Source organism: Homo sapiens, chromosome 18 (assembly GCF_000001405.40).
Source record: "Homo sapiens chromosome 18, GRCh38.p14 Primary Assembly".
NCBI lineage: Eukaryota > Metazoa > Chordata > Mammalia > Primates > Hominidae > Homo > Homo sapiens.
Genome location: NC_000018.10, coordinates 5,473,405 through 5,486,279, shown reverse-complemented (window position 1 = coordinate 5,486,279; position 12,875 = coordinate 5,473,405). Strand labels below are relative to the sequence as shown.

Genomic DNA, 12,875 nt, shown 5'->3' with positions numbered 1-12,875 from the left:
AGTTATCCAGTTTTCCCTACACCCTTTACTGAAAGGACTGTTCTCTATTGAATGTTCTTGGCACCTTTGTCAAAGATGAGTTGGCTGTATGTGAGGATTTATATCTGGATTCTCTATTCTGTTCCATTGGTTTATGTATCTATTTTTATGCCAGTACCATGCTGTTTTGATTATTATAGCTTTGTAGTAAATTTTGAAGTCAGGTAGTATGATACCTCCAGCTTTGTTCTTTTTAGTCAGGATGACTTTGGCTATTCGGGGTCTTTTGTAGTTCCATGTAAATTTGAGGACATTTTTTCTAATTCTGTGAAGAGTGTCATAGGTATTTTGTTACATTCAATTTACATTGAATTTGTAAATTACTTTGGGTAGTATTGCCATTTTAACAGTATTAAGTCTTCTAATCCATGAGCATGGAATATCTTTCCATTTTTTGCATTCTCTTCAATTTCTTTCATCAGAGTTTTATAGTTTTCCTTACACCGATCTTTCACTTCTTTGGTTAGATTGCTTCCTAGGTATTTTATATTTTGTAGCTATTGTAAATAGGATTGCTTCTTGATATCTTTTTCAGATAGTTTACCATTGACAAATTTAAACACTACTGATTTTTGTATGTTGATAAATTCTACAATTTCACTGAATTCATCTATCAGTTCTCACAGTTTTTTGGTGGAGTCTTTAGGGTTTTCTAGGTATAAAATTATGTCTTCTGTGAACAAGACTAAGTTGACTTCTTTCTTTTCAGTTTGGATGCCCTTTATTTCTTTCTTTTGCCCAATTGTGCCAGCCAGGACTTCCAGTATTATGTTGTATAATACTGAAAGTGGGCATCCTTTACTTGTTCTAGTCCTTAGAGGAAAGGCCTTCAGTTTTTCACAATTCAATACAATGCTAATTTGGGTTTTTCATATATGGTGTGTATTATTTCGGGGTATGTTCTTCTATACTGATTTTGATGAGGATTTTTAATCATAAAGACATGTTGAATTTTATCAAATGCTTTTTTGACATCTATTGAAATAATCATATGGTTTTTGTTCTTGATTCTGTTAATGTGATGTATCATGTTTATTGATTTTTGTATGTTTAACCATCTGCATCCCTAGGATGAATCACATTTAATCATGGTGAATGATCTTTTCAGTCCCCTTTTTAATGTATTGTTGAATTCGGTTTGCTAGTATTTCACTGAGGATTTTTGCATTAATGTTCATCAGTGATATTGGCCTGTAGGTTTTGTTTGTGTTGTATCTTTGTCTGCTTTTGGTATCAGAGTAATATTGACCTTGTAGCATGAGTTTGGAAGTATTCCCTCCTCTCCAATTTTTTTTTTTTGAAGAGTTTAAGTAGGATCAGTATTAGTTTTCTTTACATGTTTGATAGAATTCAAATGAAGCCTTCAGGTCTTGGGCTTTTTTTGATAGAAGACTTTTTATTATAGCTTTGATCTCATTACTCATGACTATTTTGTTGAGGTTTTCTGTTTCTTCATAGTTCATTCTTGGTGAGTTGTATGTGTCTAGAAATTTATCCGTTTCTTCTGGGTTTTCCAATCTGTTGCCATATAGTTGTTCATAATAGTCGCTAATGAGTCTTCATATTTCTTAGGTCCCAGTTGCTATGTCTCCTTTTTCATGTCTGATTTTATTTACTTGGATTTTCTCTCTTTTTCTTAGTCTAGCTAAAGGTTTGTCTATTTTGTTTATCTGTTCAAAAAACCAACTCATTGTTTTGTTGATCTTCTGTATTTTTTTTTTATCTCAATTTCATTTATTTCTGCTCTGATCATCATCATTTCTTTTTTTCCTAATTTGGGGTTTGGTTCATTCCTGCTTTTCTAGTCCCTTGAGGTGCATCGTTGAGTTATTTATTTGAAGGCTTTTTACTTTTTTGATATAGACGTTTATTGCTCTCCACTTCCCTCTTAGTACTGCTTTTGTTATAGCCCACAGATTTTTTATCTTGTATTTACATTTTCACTTGTGTTTTGATAATTTTTTTTTTAACTTCTTAGTTTCTTCACTGACTCGTTGGTCATTCAGGGCATGTTGTTTAATTTCCATGTGTTTGTGTATTTTCTGAGGTTCCTCTTACTGATTTCTAGTTTTATTCCATTGTGGTCAGGAAAGATACTTGATATGATTTTTTTTTTCTGTTTTTTTTTTTTTTTTTTTTTTTTTTTTTTTTTTTGAGTTTGTTTGGACTTGTTTTATAGCCTAAGACATGGTCTGTTCTGGACAGTGTTCCATGTGCTGATGAAAAGAATGTATTCTGCAGCAGTTGGGTGAAATGTGTAAATGTTGGTTAGGCCTGTTAGATCTAGTGTGTAGTTTAACTCCACTGTTTCTTTGTTGATTTTCTGTCTGGATGTTCTGTCCCTTACTGAGAGTGGAGTGTTGAAGTCCCCTACCATTATTGTACTGCCGTCTGTTTCTCCCTTTAGATTTACGAATGTTTTATATACTTGGGAACTCTGGTGTTAGGTGCATAGATATTTGTAATTGTTTCATCTTCTTGCTGAATTGTCCCCTTTATCATTATGTAGTGACCTGCTTTTTCTCATTTTAGTCTTAGATTTGTTAGTCTCTCTTATATAAGTATAGCTACATCTGCTCTTTTTTTGGCTTCTAGTTGTATAGAATGGTTTTTTTTTCCACCTTTTTACTTTCAGTCTGTGTGGGTGAAGTGAATTTCTTGAAGCTAACATATAGTTGGTTCTTGTTTTTATATCCATTTACCTACTTTAGGCCTTTTAATTGGAGAATTGAGACCATTTACATTCAGTGTTATTGATAAGGACTTATTACTGCTGTTTTGCTGCCTGTTTCTGGTTGAAACTCCTCTTGTTCTTTTTTACATGGTTTTCCTTTGTGGCTAAGTGATTTTCTCTGGTAATGTGTTTTAATATGTTGCTTTTTATTTTTAGTGGATCTATTATAGGTTTTTGTGTTGTGGTTACTATGAGGCTTACCAGAAACATCTTATAGATACAGCAAGTTATTTTAAACAAATGACAACTTATCTTAGATCACAAATTTAAAAACAGAAACAAAGGCTAAAAAAAACTACACATACACACATGCACGCACATACACACACACCCCAATTCTATACTTTAACTCCATCCCCATTACATTTTGACTTAGTTGTCTCAATTTGCATATTTTAATATTACCTATCCCTTCACTGGTTGCTGTAGGTATTATTGTTTTTGATAGGTTGTCTTTTGGGCTTCATACTAGAGTTATGATTGTGGTAGTACTAGTAGTACATTGTACACTGCAAGTACAGTAAGTACAGTAATAGAGTATTCTGGGTTTATCCATGTACTTGATTTTACCACTAGGTTTGATACATTGAAAGGTTCATTTTTATTTTTTGCACATTAGTGGTTTTTTATTTCAGATTGAAGAACTCTCTTTAGCATTTCTTTTAAGATGGGTCTGGTGGTGGTGAATTCTCTCTGCTTTTGTTCTTTCGGGAAAGATTTGATCTCTCCTTTATATTTGAATGATAATTTTGTTGGATGCAATATTCTTAGATGACAGTTTTTTTCTTTGAGCACTTTAAAAATGTCAGTCCACTCTTTCCTGGCCTGTGTGGGTTTTCTGTTGAGAATTCTGTTACCAGGCAATTTGGAGCTCCTTTACCTGTTATTTGTTTCTTTTTCTCTTGCTGCTTTTAGGGTTCTGTCTTTGTTCTTGAGCTTTGAGAGTTTATTGCTTTGTGGTATTCTTATTTAGGTTGAATCTGTGTGATGTTCTCAGACTTCCCTGTACTTGAATATTTATATCTTTCACGAGTTTTGGAAAGTTTCCTGTGATTATTTCTTTGAATATGCTTTCTACCCTTTGCTCTTGCTGAGCTGCCTCCTGAATACCAATAATTCTTAGGTTTGGTCTTTTGAGGTAATTTTCTGTACCTTGTATGCACTCTGTTCCTTTTTGTTCATTTTTCTTTTTTCTCTGTGTCTTTTCAAATAGCTGGTCTTTGAGCTCACTGAATCTTTCCTGTGCTTTGTTCATTCTACTAAGAGCCTCTAATGAGTTCTTCAGTTTATCAAATGTATTTCTCAGTTCTGAGATTTCTGTTTGATTTCTTAAAAGTATTTCAATCTCTTCATCAAATTTATCTGATAAATTTCTGAATTGCTTTTCATTTTTATCTTGAGCTCATGAGTTTCCTTAAAATTGTTATTTTGAATTCTTAGCTCACAAATCGCCATCTTGTAGGGTTGGATTTTCCCTTGTCTTTTTGGGGAGGTCCTGTTTGCTATTGTTTCTTGTGGGTGGGTGTCTGTGTCTTTGTATAGAAGGATTAGTTTTAAATTGCAGTTTTCTCTGTCTGGCTTGTTTTGTTTTTTATTGGATATGTTTGCTTAGAAATTTTTTACCGCTAGGCCTCTGCCACCTCTTTGGCGCTAGGTGGCCTTTAAGCCCAGATCACCTTGGCTCTCGTAAGCGATGGGAGTGCCGCTTGTCCTGAATGAGGGATTATCCTGGCAATGTGGGATGGCTGACTAGGAGTTTGTGCCCAAGGGATCTGTGGAATGTGCCTTCTCCAGTGTGGTGCTGCTGAACAGCCACTCTGATTCAGTGTCTCCTTTGGCCAAGTTACAGAGCAGAGTGTCCAGGACTGGGGTGGTGGTCCCATCTCCCGGCTTTTTCTCCGCCTGTCCTCGGGGATATTTCTCCCTTCAGAGAGTCACATCACTTCCTTCCCATGGGTTAAGGCAAGGGCAGGTCTCCTGCAGGGAATCCCAGGAAGGTGGGAAAGCTGGTTGGCCACCTCAGTCTCACTTTTCCAGTATCATTTTTCTACGAGTTGGGGGAAGATTTTCTGCACTTTTATTGCCGGGCAGAATCAAGGGGAGGGGCATCATGACTATGGAAGTCCAATTCTTACACCATCTGCATGGAGTTTTTCTACTTTTCTGTGGCCTCAGGATCTGTCTCGTCCTCATATTTGAGTTCCAGGTTGTTGCTGGTGAAAATCTTGTGCTGTATATTTGTTTTAGGTTTTCTGTGGAGGGATGGGAGGAGGGAAACCAGCTTGCTTCTGTGCCACCACTTTAAAATGAATGTCACAAGTTCTGCTTTAAACAATATTAATAAATAACAATTATTTTCACTCTATAAATAGCTGCTCTGTCTCATCTCAGATGCTTTGTGATGGAGAGCAGGGAGATCCCATCCCAGCTTAGTAGACAAACCTAAGGAACTGTTGTAGCCATCATGGTTTTCTTTTACCTTTTCTTTTTGTGGAGGAATGATGATGATAGTGTCTGGCTTTCTTTTTGTTTATTTTGTTTTTTTTAATCTTCAAACATTTAAAATTACTAAAGTAAATGTTTGCTTTTTCTTCCTTCTTTCCTCTTTACTCTGAAATGAAATAACATGAAAATGGGAGATAATTATAGAAAAGTATGAATATCTATACCTAGACATGATTAAATATACTTTATTTATCTTCTGCAGTCAGATACAAAACAAGAGAAATGACACTAAGAGGGAGAGATGACTGGCTGCAAAAGGCAGAGACCTTGAAGTCCTGTCTCTTCTAGTCATTGTTTTACCATCTTCGGAGAACTCACGCAAGTCCCCAAGCCTCACTTGGTCTACAAAATGAAGAGTTCAGAAAAGATAATTTCTGAGATTCTTCCACAAAATTCTTTGATTCAGGCTAGGAAGCTATCTGTTGGAAGTAAAATGAAGCTGATTTTGGTACATAGTAACGATTAGAACATGGGTTTGGCTAGATTTGAATTCCATTCAAATCCATTGAATTTATGCCTCAAGAGTTTCTTAGGCTCCCCATGTCTCTCTCTCCTTATATGCAAATGAGGGTAATAATACCCATACCATAGAGCTGTGAGGATTAAAAGAGATTGAGAATTAGCTAAAATCCGATATTTAAAATTAGAACGCATCATATGACTATGATTGACATTTCATTTGAGGTACTTAGTCTGCTATTTTTGAGTTCTTAAAGTTTTTTTAAAAAATGTATGTAAGGGCCTTAGTGTTGGGTTCATGTTTCCAGTGTTCCCAGAAACAATGCCTATCCTTTGAAAGTTGGTGCCTTAAGATGCCTCTGGAATTGACATTTAAAGTAACCCAGAAGCTTGTTCTCATACAGATATTTTTATTTTAGTAAAGGAAAAGCGACATTGTATCTTCCCTGTTACATAGAAAATGTTGATTTCAGGTAAAATTTAAATAAAAATGTATTAATAGCTTCTAATGACCTTTGCCTATGAAGAGACAAAAATAAAACTTAAATGTTCATAATTTGTGTAAGTTATAAAGCACTTAATGAATATGTTATTGTTGTTGATATACAATACCAAAGTAACCAAACTTCTCTGTCAATTACCTCAAGGCCAAACTTAATGACAATTTTATGATTTTCTTGCACTTACTATTTTAATACTTTGCTATAGAAAGACAGTGATTAAAAAAGTAGGACTGAGTTGCCAGAGCAGGTTTTCTTTAGTTTATTTACTTTTTTTTTTTTAAGCTAAAACTTGCCTTCTCAACTGTTTTGGCCTTTAGAATTGGCTATTCAGTTTTTTGTTGCTTTCTTTTCATAAGCTCAGCAGATTGGTCTCTTTCAATTCTTAAGAAGTTCTCAAGACTTTGCCTTGAAATCCTGGGCAAGATAGAATTGGAGGAGAGTACTGTATTAGCAATCTTTTGGATGGAAAACAAGATAGAAAATGAAGATAAAGCAGAAATCTGTACCTAAAACCCAAAATAAATATACCCAAATATCTTTGTAATTATATTAGTGTTATAAAAATGTAGAGGCTAATAGAAAAATTAAGATGATAAACCATCAATATTGTTTTTACTTTTCGAGCCCCTGAAAAGTAAGGGCTGATAGTATGTACACGGGAAAGGAAATGCCATGCTTATTTCAAAGCCCTAAACAGAATTCTGGTGCATGTCTTCCTTTGGACTGTCAGCACATATTTGCAGACTAGTGGCAGTGGTGGCGCAGCCCAAGGATCGAATTTGCAGTACTACCATTGGTGGCCATTTAATAGGTAGAAGATGGATGTACAGAGAGAATAGTTGGAGATCTGTGTGCACATTTCCAAAGAGATTGGTATACGGGAGAATGTTACTGTTACTTAAGATGTCCTCTGCAGTTTTATAACTAGCCTGGACTAGTCTGTTATGGTTTGAAAGCAGATTAAAGCTATTGGACAGATTTGATATGTTCTTACACTGGTTCATTACAGTGAAGGGAAGCAGACATAGGGGATTACTTTGTGATGAATTTCAGTTCTGCTGACTTCATTGAATTGATTGAGAGCTAAATTAAACATTTTAACAGTTGTAAAAGTACTGAAAAGATTAATACTTGAAGCTCTCCAGGTCTTAGAGTTTATCAGATATCTTGTATATGTAGGGATGAGGCAGCTGTATAACAAGTTGTAGAGTATAGAAGGATCTGGTGAATTAAGAAAATAGAACATGTAAGATGAAATCTAAACAGTATATTTTAGAGGCCTATACTATCCAATCCTTTTTAAAAAGTCAGGAGTCAATTATTCATTGTTTGCTTAATGAAATCTTGATAGCATTTGCTAACTCAGTGGTTCTAAAGTAAGTCCTGGAGTTAAAATGAAATAAGGCCTTATTGATACATTTAAATGGCAAACAGTATTTAGGCAAATATTATAAATATCTGTATATTTATATCTATTCCTAATATCCTAATTCAATACCTCTCCTCTATGAAATAGAAAGCAGTTTTGTGCTATTGCATGAGCAATGCAATATTTATTTCCCACCTTGCAATGAAAACTGTTGATTGTTTGCTCTTCACAGGTCACTGACAAGGAACAGGAGTTTGCTGCCAGGGCTGCAAAACAGCTCGAATATCAGCAATTAGAAGACGATAAACTTTCTCAGAAATCATCTAGCAGTAAACTCTCTCGGTCTCCATTAAAGATTGTCAAAAAGCCTAAAAGCATGCAGTGCAAAGTGATACTTCTCGATGGATCAGAATATACCTGTGATGTAGAGGTAAGTGTGTGTCTTAAGACTTTTCTGTCCTAGATATTGAGAGCTGGGGAATGTTGGTATAAAATATACAAGATGCCTCTTTATTTTTCTAGGACTCTGGAAAATTACTCAAACCCAGTCTCTAAATATAAAATTATTTCCCTAGTCTGTAACAGGGGATCAGATTAAAAATATGTATAATGTCCCAAAATGTTACAATCAAAAGTAAACTGTGACCTTATATTTTTTAAAAGACAAAGTCTCCAACAATATGGTAGGAACAAAAAAAATTTTGAAAGCTTTAAAAATAGACTTTAATATCCTGACTGCGAGCTATTATTTACATGAATTTTATCCTTTTTTGCATAATTTATGGCCATGTCACTTGTTACTTGGTAGAAAACTTACAAATTCTGTACATAGGGGTGGTGGGATAATTTGAAAATGTCCATGACCTTTTCTTGCTTGGAGAATGAGTAATTTTTAAAAGACACGTTGTGGTGGGCATTGTAGTTTCGGTGTAAAAGGGTATACCCTTTGTTTTTCTTTGTAAAGAAAACAGATTCCTCTCAGAGAAAGGGCGGTTGAATGCCTTTTGTCAGAGATGTTTGTCAAGACCAAATTAGCAGTTGAGAACACAACCTGTCTGGAACTGCAGAGACAGCTGACTGTTGAGTTCTCTGAGTATCAGGGAGGATTCACGCAGGGCATGAATTCAGGCTCTATGAGCAGGTCTGTGTGTGCACCAAGATGGAATGGCTTGCACTTTTAGCAAGGTTTCAGATGCCATGTCTTCATTCAAAGAGCTCATTCTTCCTGCCTCCAGCTCCTGCCCTTGTCATAAAGAGGGCAGGGTATCACACACATCTCCAAGCCAGCCCCTCTCCCCCTTCATTCCACTGTGCTTTCAGAGTCCACCCTTTCCTCAGGCTTGTGCTGAGACTCTGTCCCAGGCAGCACAGGCAGTGCACACATGTGTGTCCTCACATATTTCTCTTCCTCGTCCCTCATGACAGCTAATACCAAGCCCACCTATTTCCCATGTTCCCATTTACTCTGCTTCCTCTGTCTCCCAACCCCCATATCATTCCTGTTATGTTTTTATAATGTGCTCATGCACCCAGTGTTTTTCTTGGAACAGAAGATTCAAATCCATTTCACGCTGAATTCATTTAGGATGGGGATGAGAGGTAGGTTACTAAATTGTTACAGATTGCAGGAACATAGAAAAAAGTCTATATGGTTTTTGAAAATAAAGTCTTACATCAAAAATTATTTAGTCTGTTGTATACCAATTTATAGAAAATTTAGTCATCCAGTATCCTTATAAACATGGATGGGCTGCTGCAGGAATCCCCAAGGACCGTGCACAAAACTATTTCTTGCCTTTTTCTGGCTTTGATTTTGTTTCATTTCTTAGGCCAGCGTGTCCAATTACTCATCTAGATCTGAATTCTGGAAATAGGCAGCTCCAGTAATATACTTCTAGCTGGGTTTTACTATGAAACTTATGGAACTTTTGTAACCTTGAGAAATACTGTATTTCTTCAGTGTAGATGCATTTTCTGGAAAAATTGATCCAAGTCAAGAGAAACTTTTCCTCTTAACTTTGAGGAGAGTCTTTCTATTTTTTGCATTTATGTAATGGAATAAATAGGGTAAACTGGCAGTCTTCGAGTCCTAGCTATCAGAGTCTTCCAAGAGTCTAGAAGAAAGTTTATAGTGTTTCACATAGAGAGGATAATGCCTTAGGGCTGACCGAGGTACAAGTATTGTTGAACATTTTGTCAGATTTAATTTATGTCTGTGCTTCAGATTCATTACTGATAATCACTGTGGTTACAAATTTTTTATTTTTTACTTACCTTTCTTTTAATGTCACTGTGAACATTCTGAGTGGCACAGCAAACTTGGCCAGTTATTTTCTTCTATAATAAATTATTTTTATACATTTGACAGATTCTTAAGAGCAACTTTTTTCTGGGATATAAAAACTTTTGCTGGTAGAATTTTTTTCAGTTTCACCACAGACATTGATATCAGAAAATACATGTTCACGGCTGACATCTTTGTGAAGAAGATGGAGAAATTTGGACATGGTAAAGTTCAGTGGATTAATTTGTAACCGATTGGTTGAATGAGAAAAATGTATTGTAAATCAAGCAGAGTGATTCTCAAGGAGGCAATGAGGTGCTAGTTGAAAAATAAAAAACATGTTACAATGGCTCTTGCGTTTTGATATAAACAATGGAAAGTAAAGTTTGGCTGGTGAGCTACACACGGGGCATACTAGGTAAACAGAGAAGGGGAAGCATAGGCCAGGGAAGGTGTGCTTCAGTGTTGGCTCTCCTTGAAACTGAATCTGTATCAAAGACTTGACGAAGGCACAGAAACACAGCTGAACAATTATTTTTAAGCAATGTAGAGCTTTAAAGCCTATATTGCTTATTTAAAGAGATTGATGCCCCAAGTGTCAGACTCCAGTTTTATTATGAAATGGACAGTGTGGGACGCTGAAGCAAAGCAGGAAAGCTAACATTTAGCAGGAGTGGAGGTAAAACTTTACTCTGATAAAAGGGATCAAGTACAAAATGGAAATGTGTTTGCGAGAGGGGCAGTCAGCCTTGGTAACAATTTGAGTAAAACTCATCTTCAGCTTTAAGTTCATTACAAACTCATCGTGAACCAACAGTGTGTTACAGTTGTCAAAACCATTTTGTAATCACAGGCTGTTTCCGTGGAAGCATAGTGTTAGGTTTGCAGAAGGCAGCGAGCCATCCTGTTTCCTGCGTTGCACAGATCCAGCCTTCAGGGCTGTGTTTCAATCACATGCGATAAATGCTCTGAAGCCACCGGACTGGGGAGGGCTAATGGTAACCCATGTGGTTTCAAGGAACTTCCTTAAAGTTTCTGAACCTAGGTTTCCTCAACAGAAAGATGAAGGTGAAAATACTTGCCTCGAAAGGCATTGTTGAGAAGATTAGAGCAACTAATTTATTTGAACACTTTCTGGGATGTGGCATATTCTTAATAAATGGTCCCTGTTTAATAATGATAATACGAACAATGGACTTTGACTTGAGCATATTCAGCGAGAATTATAGGATGGTGAATGATCTGGAAGCTTTCATATGAGGAATGGTTAGAGAAATAGGATGTGTTAAATATGAAAAAATAAGATTGGTGGAGGATAGGAAAGCTATTCTCAGTTAATTGGAAAGGTGGAGACTGAAGGGTTATCATAACTTTTATGTATAAAAAGAAAAACTAAGGTAGCAGTTATAGGAAGTCAGATTGTAAGTTAAAAGGAAAATAATGTCTTTAATGATCGCTGTCAACCTTGTGATGATGTACGCACTGCCTGGGAGGGTTCCCGTAGAAACTGTAGGTGCAATTATGGAAGCCACTGATTCCTCAGATGCTGCCTCAGACCATATCACATCCAATGCCCCTTCCTACTACCACTCATGGACAGAAGAGACATGCAGACACAAAGAAACCAGACTGAAAGAGGTGGAATTGTTTCCCTAATCCCTCTCTCCAATATGTGTAGTTACAGATGAATTAAGAATGAAGGCGATGATAACAGATGAAACTTTTTTTTTTGCATTTAATAAGGCATCAAAAAGAGCATTTTATTTTCATAAAATTGTGATGTTTTTCTCCATGGCATATTGAATGCCTTCATCACGTCAACTTAAAATCATTAAGGCTCAACTGTGCCATGACGGTAGCATGAGAATTTATAGTCACCTGTAAAAGACTCCCTGGCAACACACCTCCACACACACACATGTGCACACACAAGGCTACAGTGGGAGAGACCCATCGACCCAGAAAGCAAGATAGAAGGAGTAGTTATCTGAGAGCAATGACTAAACACTTACTGCCTGTTTGATCCCCAACATCTCCCCACCGATGTTTCTATGCTAGCCTTTTCAGATCGTGCTTTCTCTAACTTCCTTCTAGCAGTTGGCTTAGATCATTGTAGTGTTCAGTGCTTTTCCATTTGAGAGATTTTTTTTTTTTTTTAGACAGAGTCTGACTCTGTTGCCCAGGCTGGAGTGCAGTGGCGCGATCTCGGCTCACTGCAAGCTCCGCCTCCCATGTTCACGCCATTCTCCTGCCTCAGCCTCCTGAGTAGCTGGGACTACAGGCGCCCACCACCACGCCCGGCTAATTTTTTGTATTTTTAGTAGAGACAGGGTTTCACCACGTTAGCCAAGATGGTCTCGATCTCCTGACCTCGTGATCCACCCGTCTCGGCCTCCCAAAGTGCTGGGATTACAGGTGTGAGCCACCACACCCGGCTGAGAGACTTTCCTCACTAATTTTTTTTCAAACTCAGTCTTGATTATTTAAAATATAAGAAAAGATCTTATTATAGCGAACTTGATATATATTTTTGAGAAATATTTACACTCTGCCAGATTTTCATGTATGCCAACAAAATCACTATGTGATTCTCCTCTTGTTGTACTGTTAGAGAATGCAAACAATGTCCTTCAGCCAGTTTGTTATTGTTGTTGATGCTTATTTCTCAAACTACATTTTAAAAGAGAAAATAAATAAAAATATCTCTGTTCCATGCAATGGAGGTAACAGTCCTCTCACTCATCTCATTTATTTTCATTTTGCTGCTTCCATGTTTGGCAGACTGATTGGAGTCTCACTGATTAGTGTACAGTGTATTCGTAGTGACTATCGAATTAGGACTTTGCTTTCTCTATTTGGGCACCATTCTAATCTAGTATGATTTTGTTTTAGGAAAATAAGTCAAGCTTGATCTCAAATTTCGGTCCATATTTCATAAGATAGGTTTGCTGCTGCATCTATCAAATGTTTAAGCCATTGTGT

At 36.5% G+C, this 12,875-nt stretch overlaps 1 protein-coding gene across 61 annotated transcripts in view; it reads left to right on the top strand.

Annotated features, from left to right (window-relative positions):
- The window catches only part of EPB41L3 (erythrocyte membrane protein band 4.1 like 3), a 238,278-nt gene that overhangs the window by 144,384 nt on the left and 81,019 nt on the right, over positions 1 to 12,875 (top strand). For all 61 annotated transcript variants that reach the window (NM_001384702.1, NM_001384706.1, NM_001384705.1 and 58 more), the window contains one exon: positions 7,842 to 8,039. In NM_001384702.1, the coding sequence (NP_001371631.1) occupies positions 7,986 to 8,039 (54 nt within the window). In that variant the 5' untranslated portion in view covers positions 7,842 to 7,985. The remainder of the gene's footprint in view (positions 1 to 7,841; positions 8,040 to 12,875) is intronic.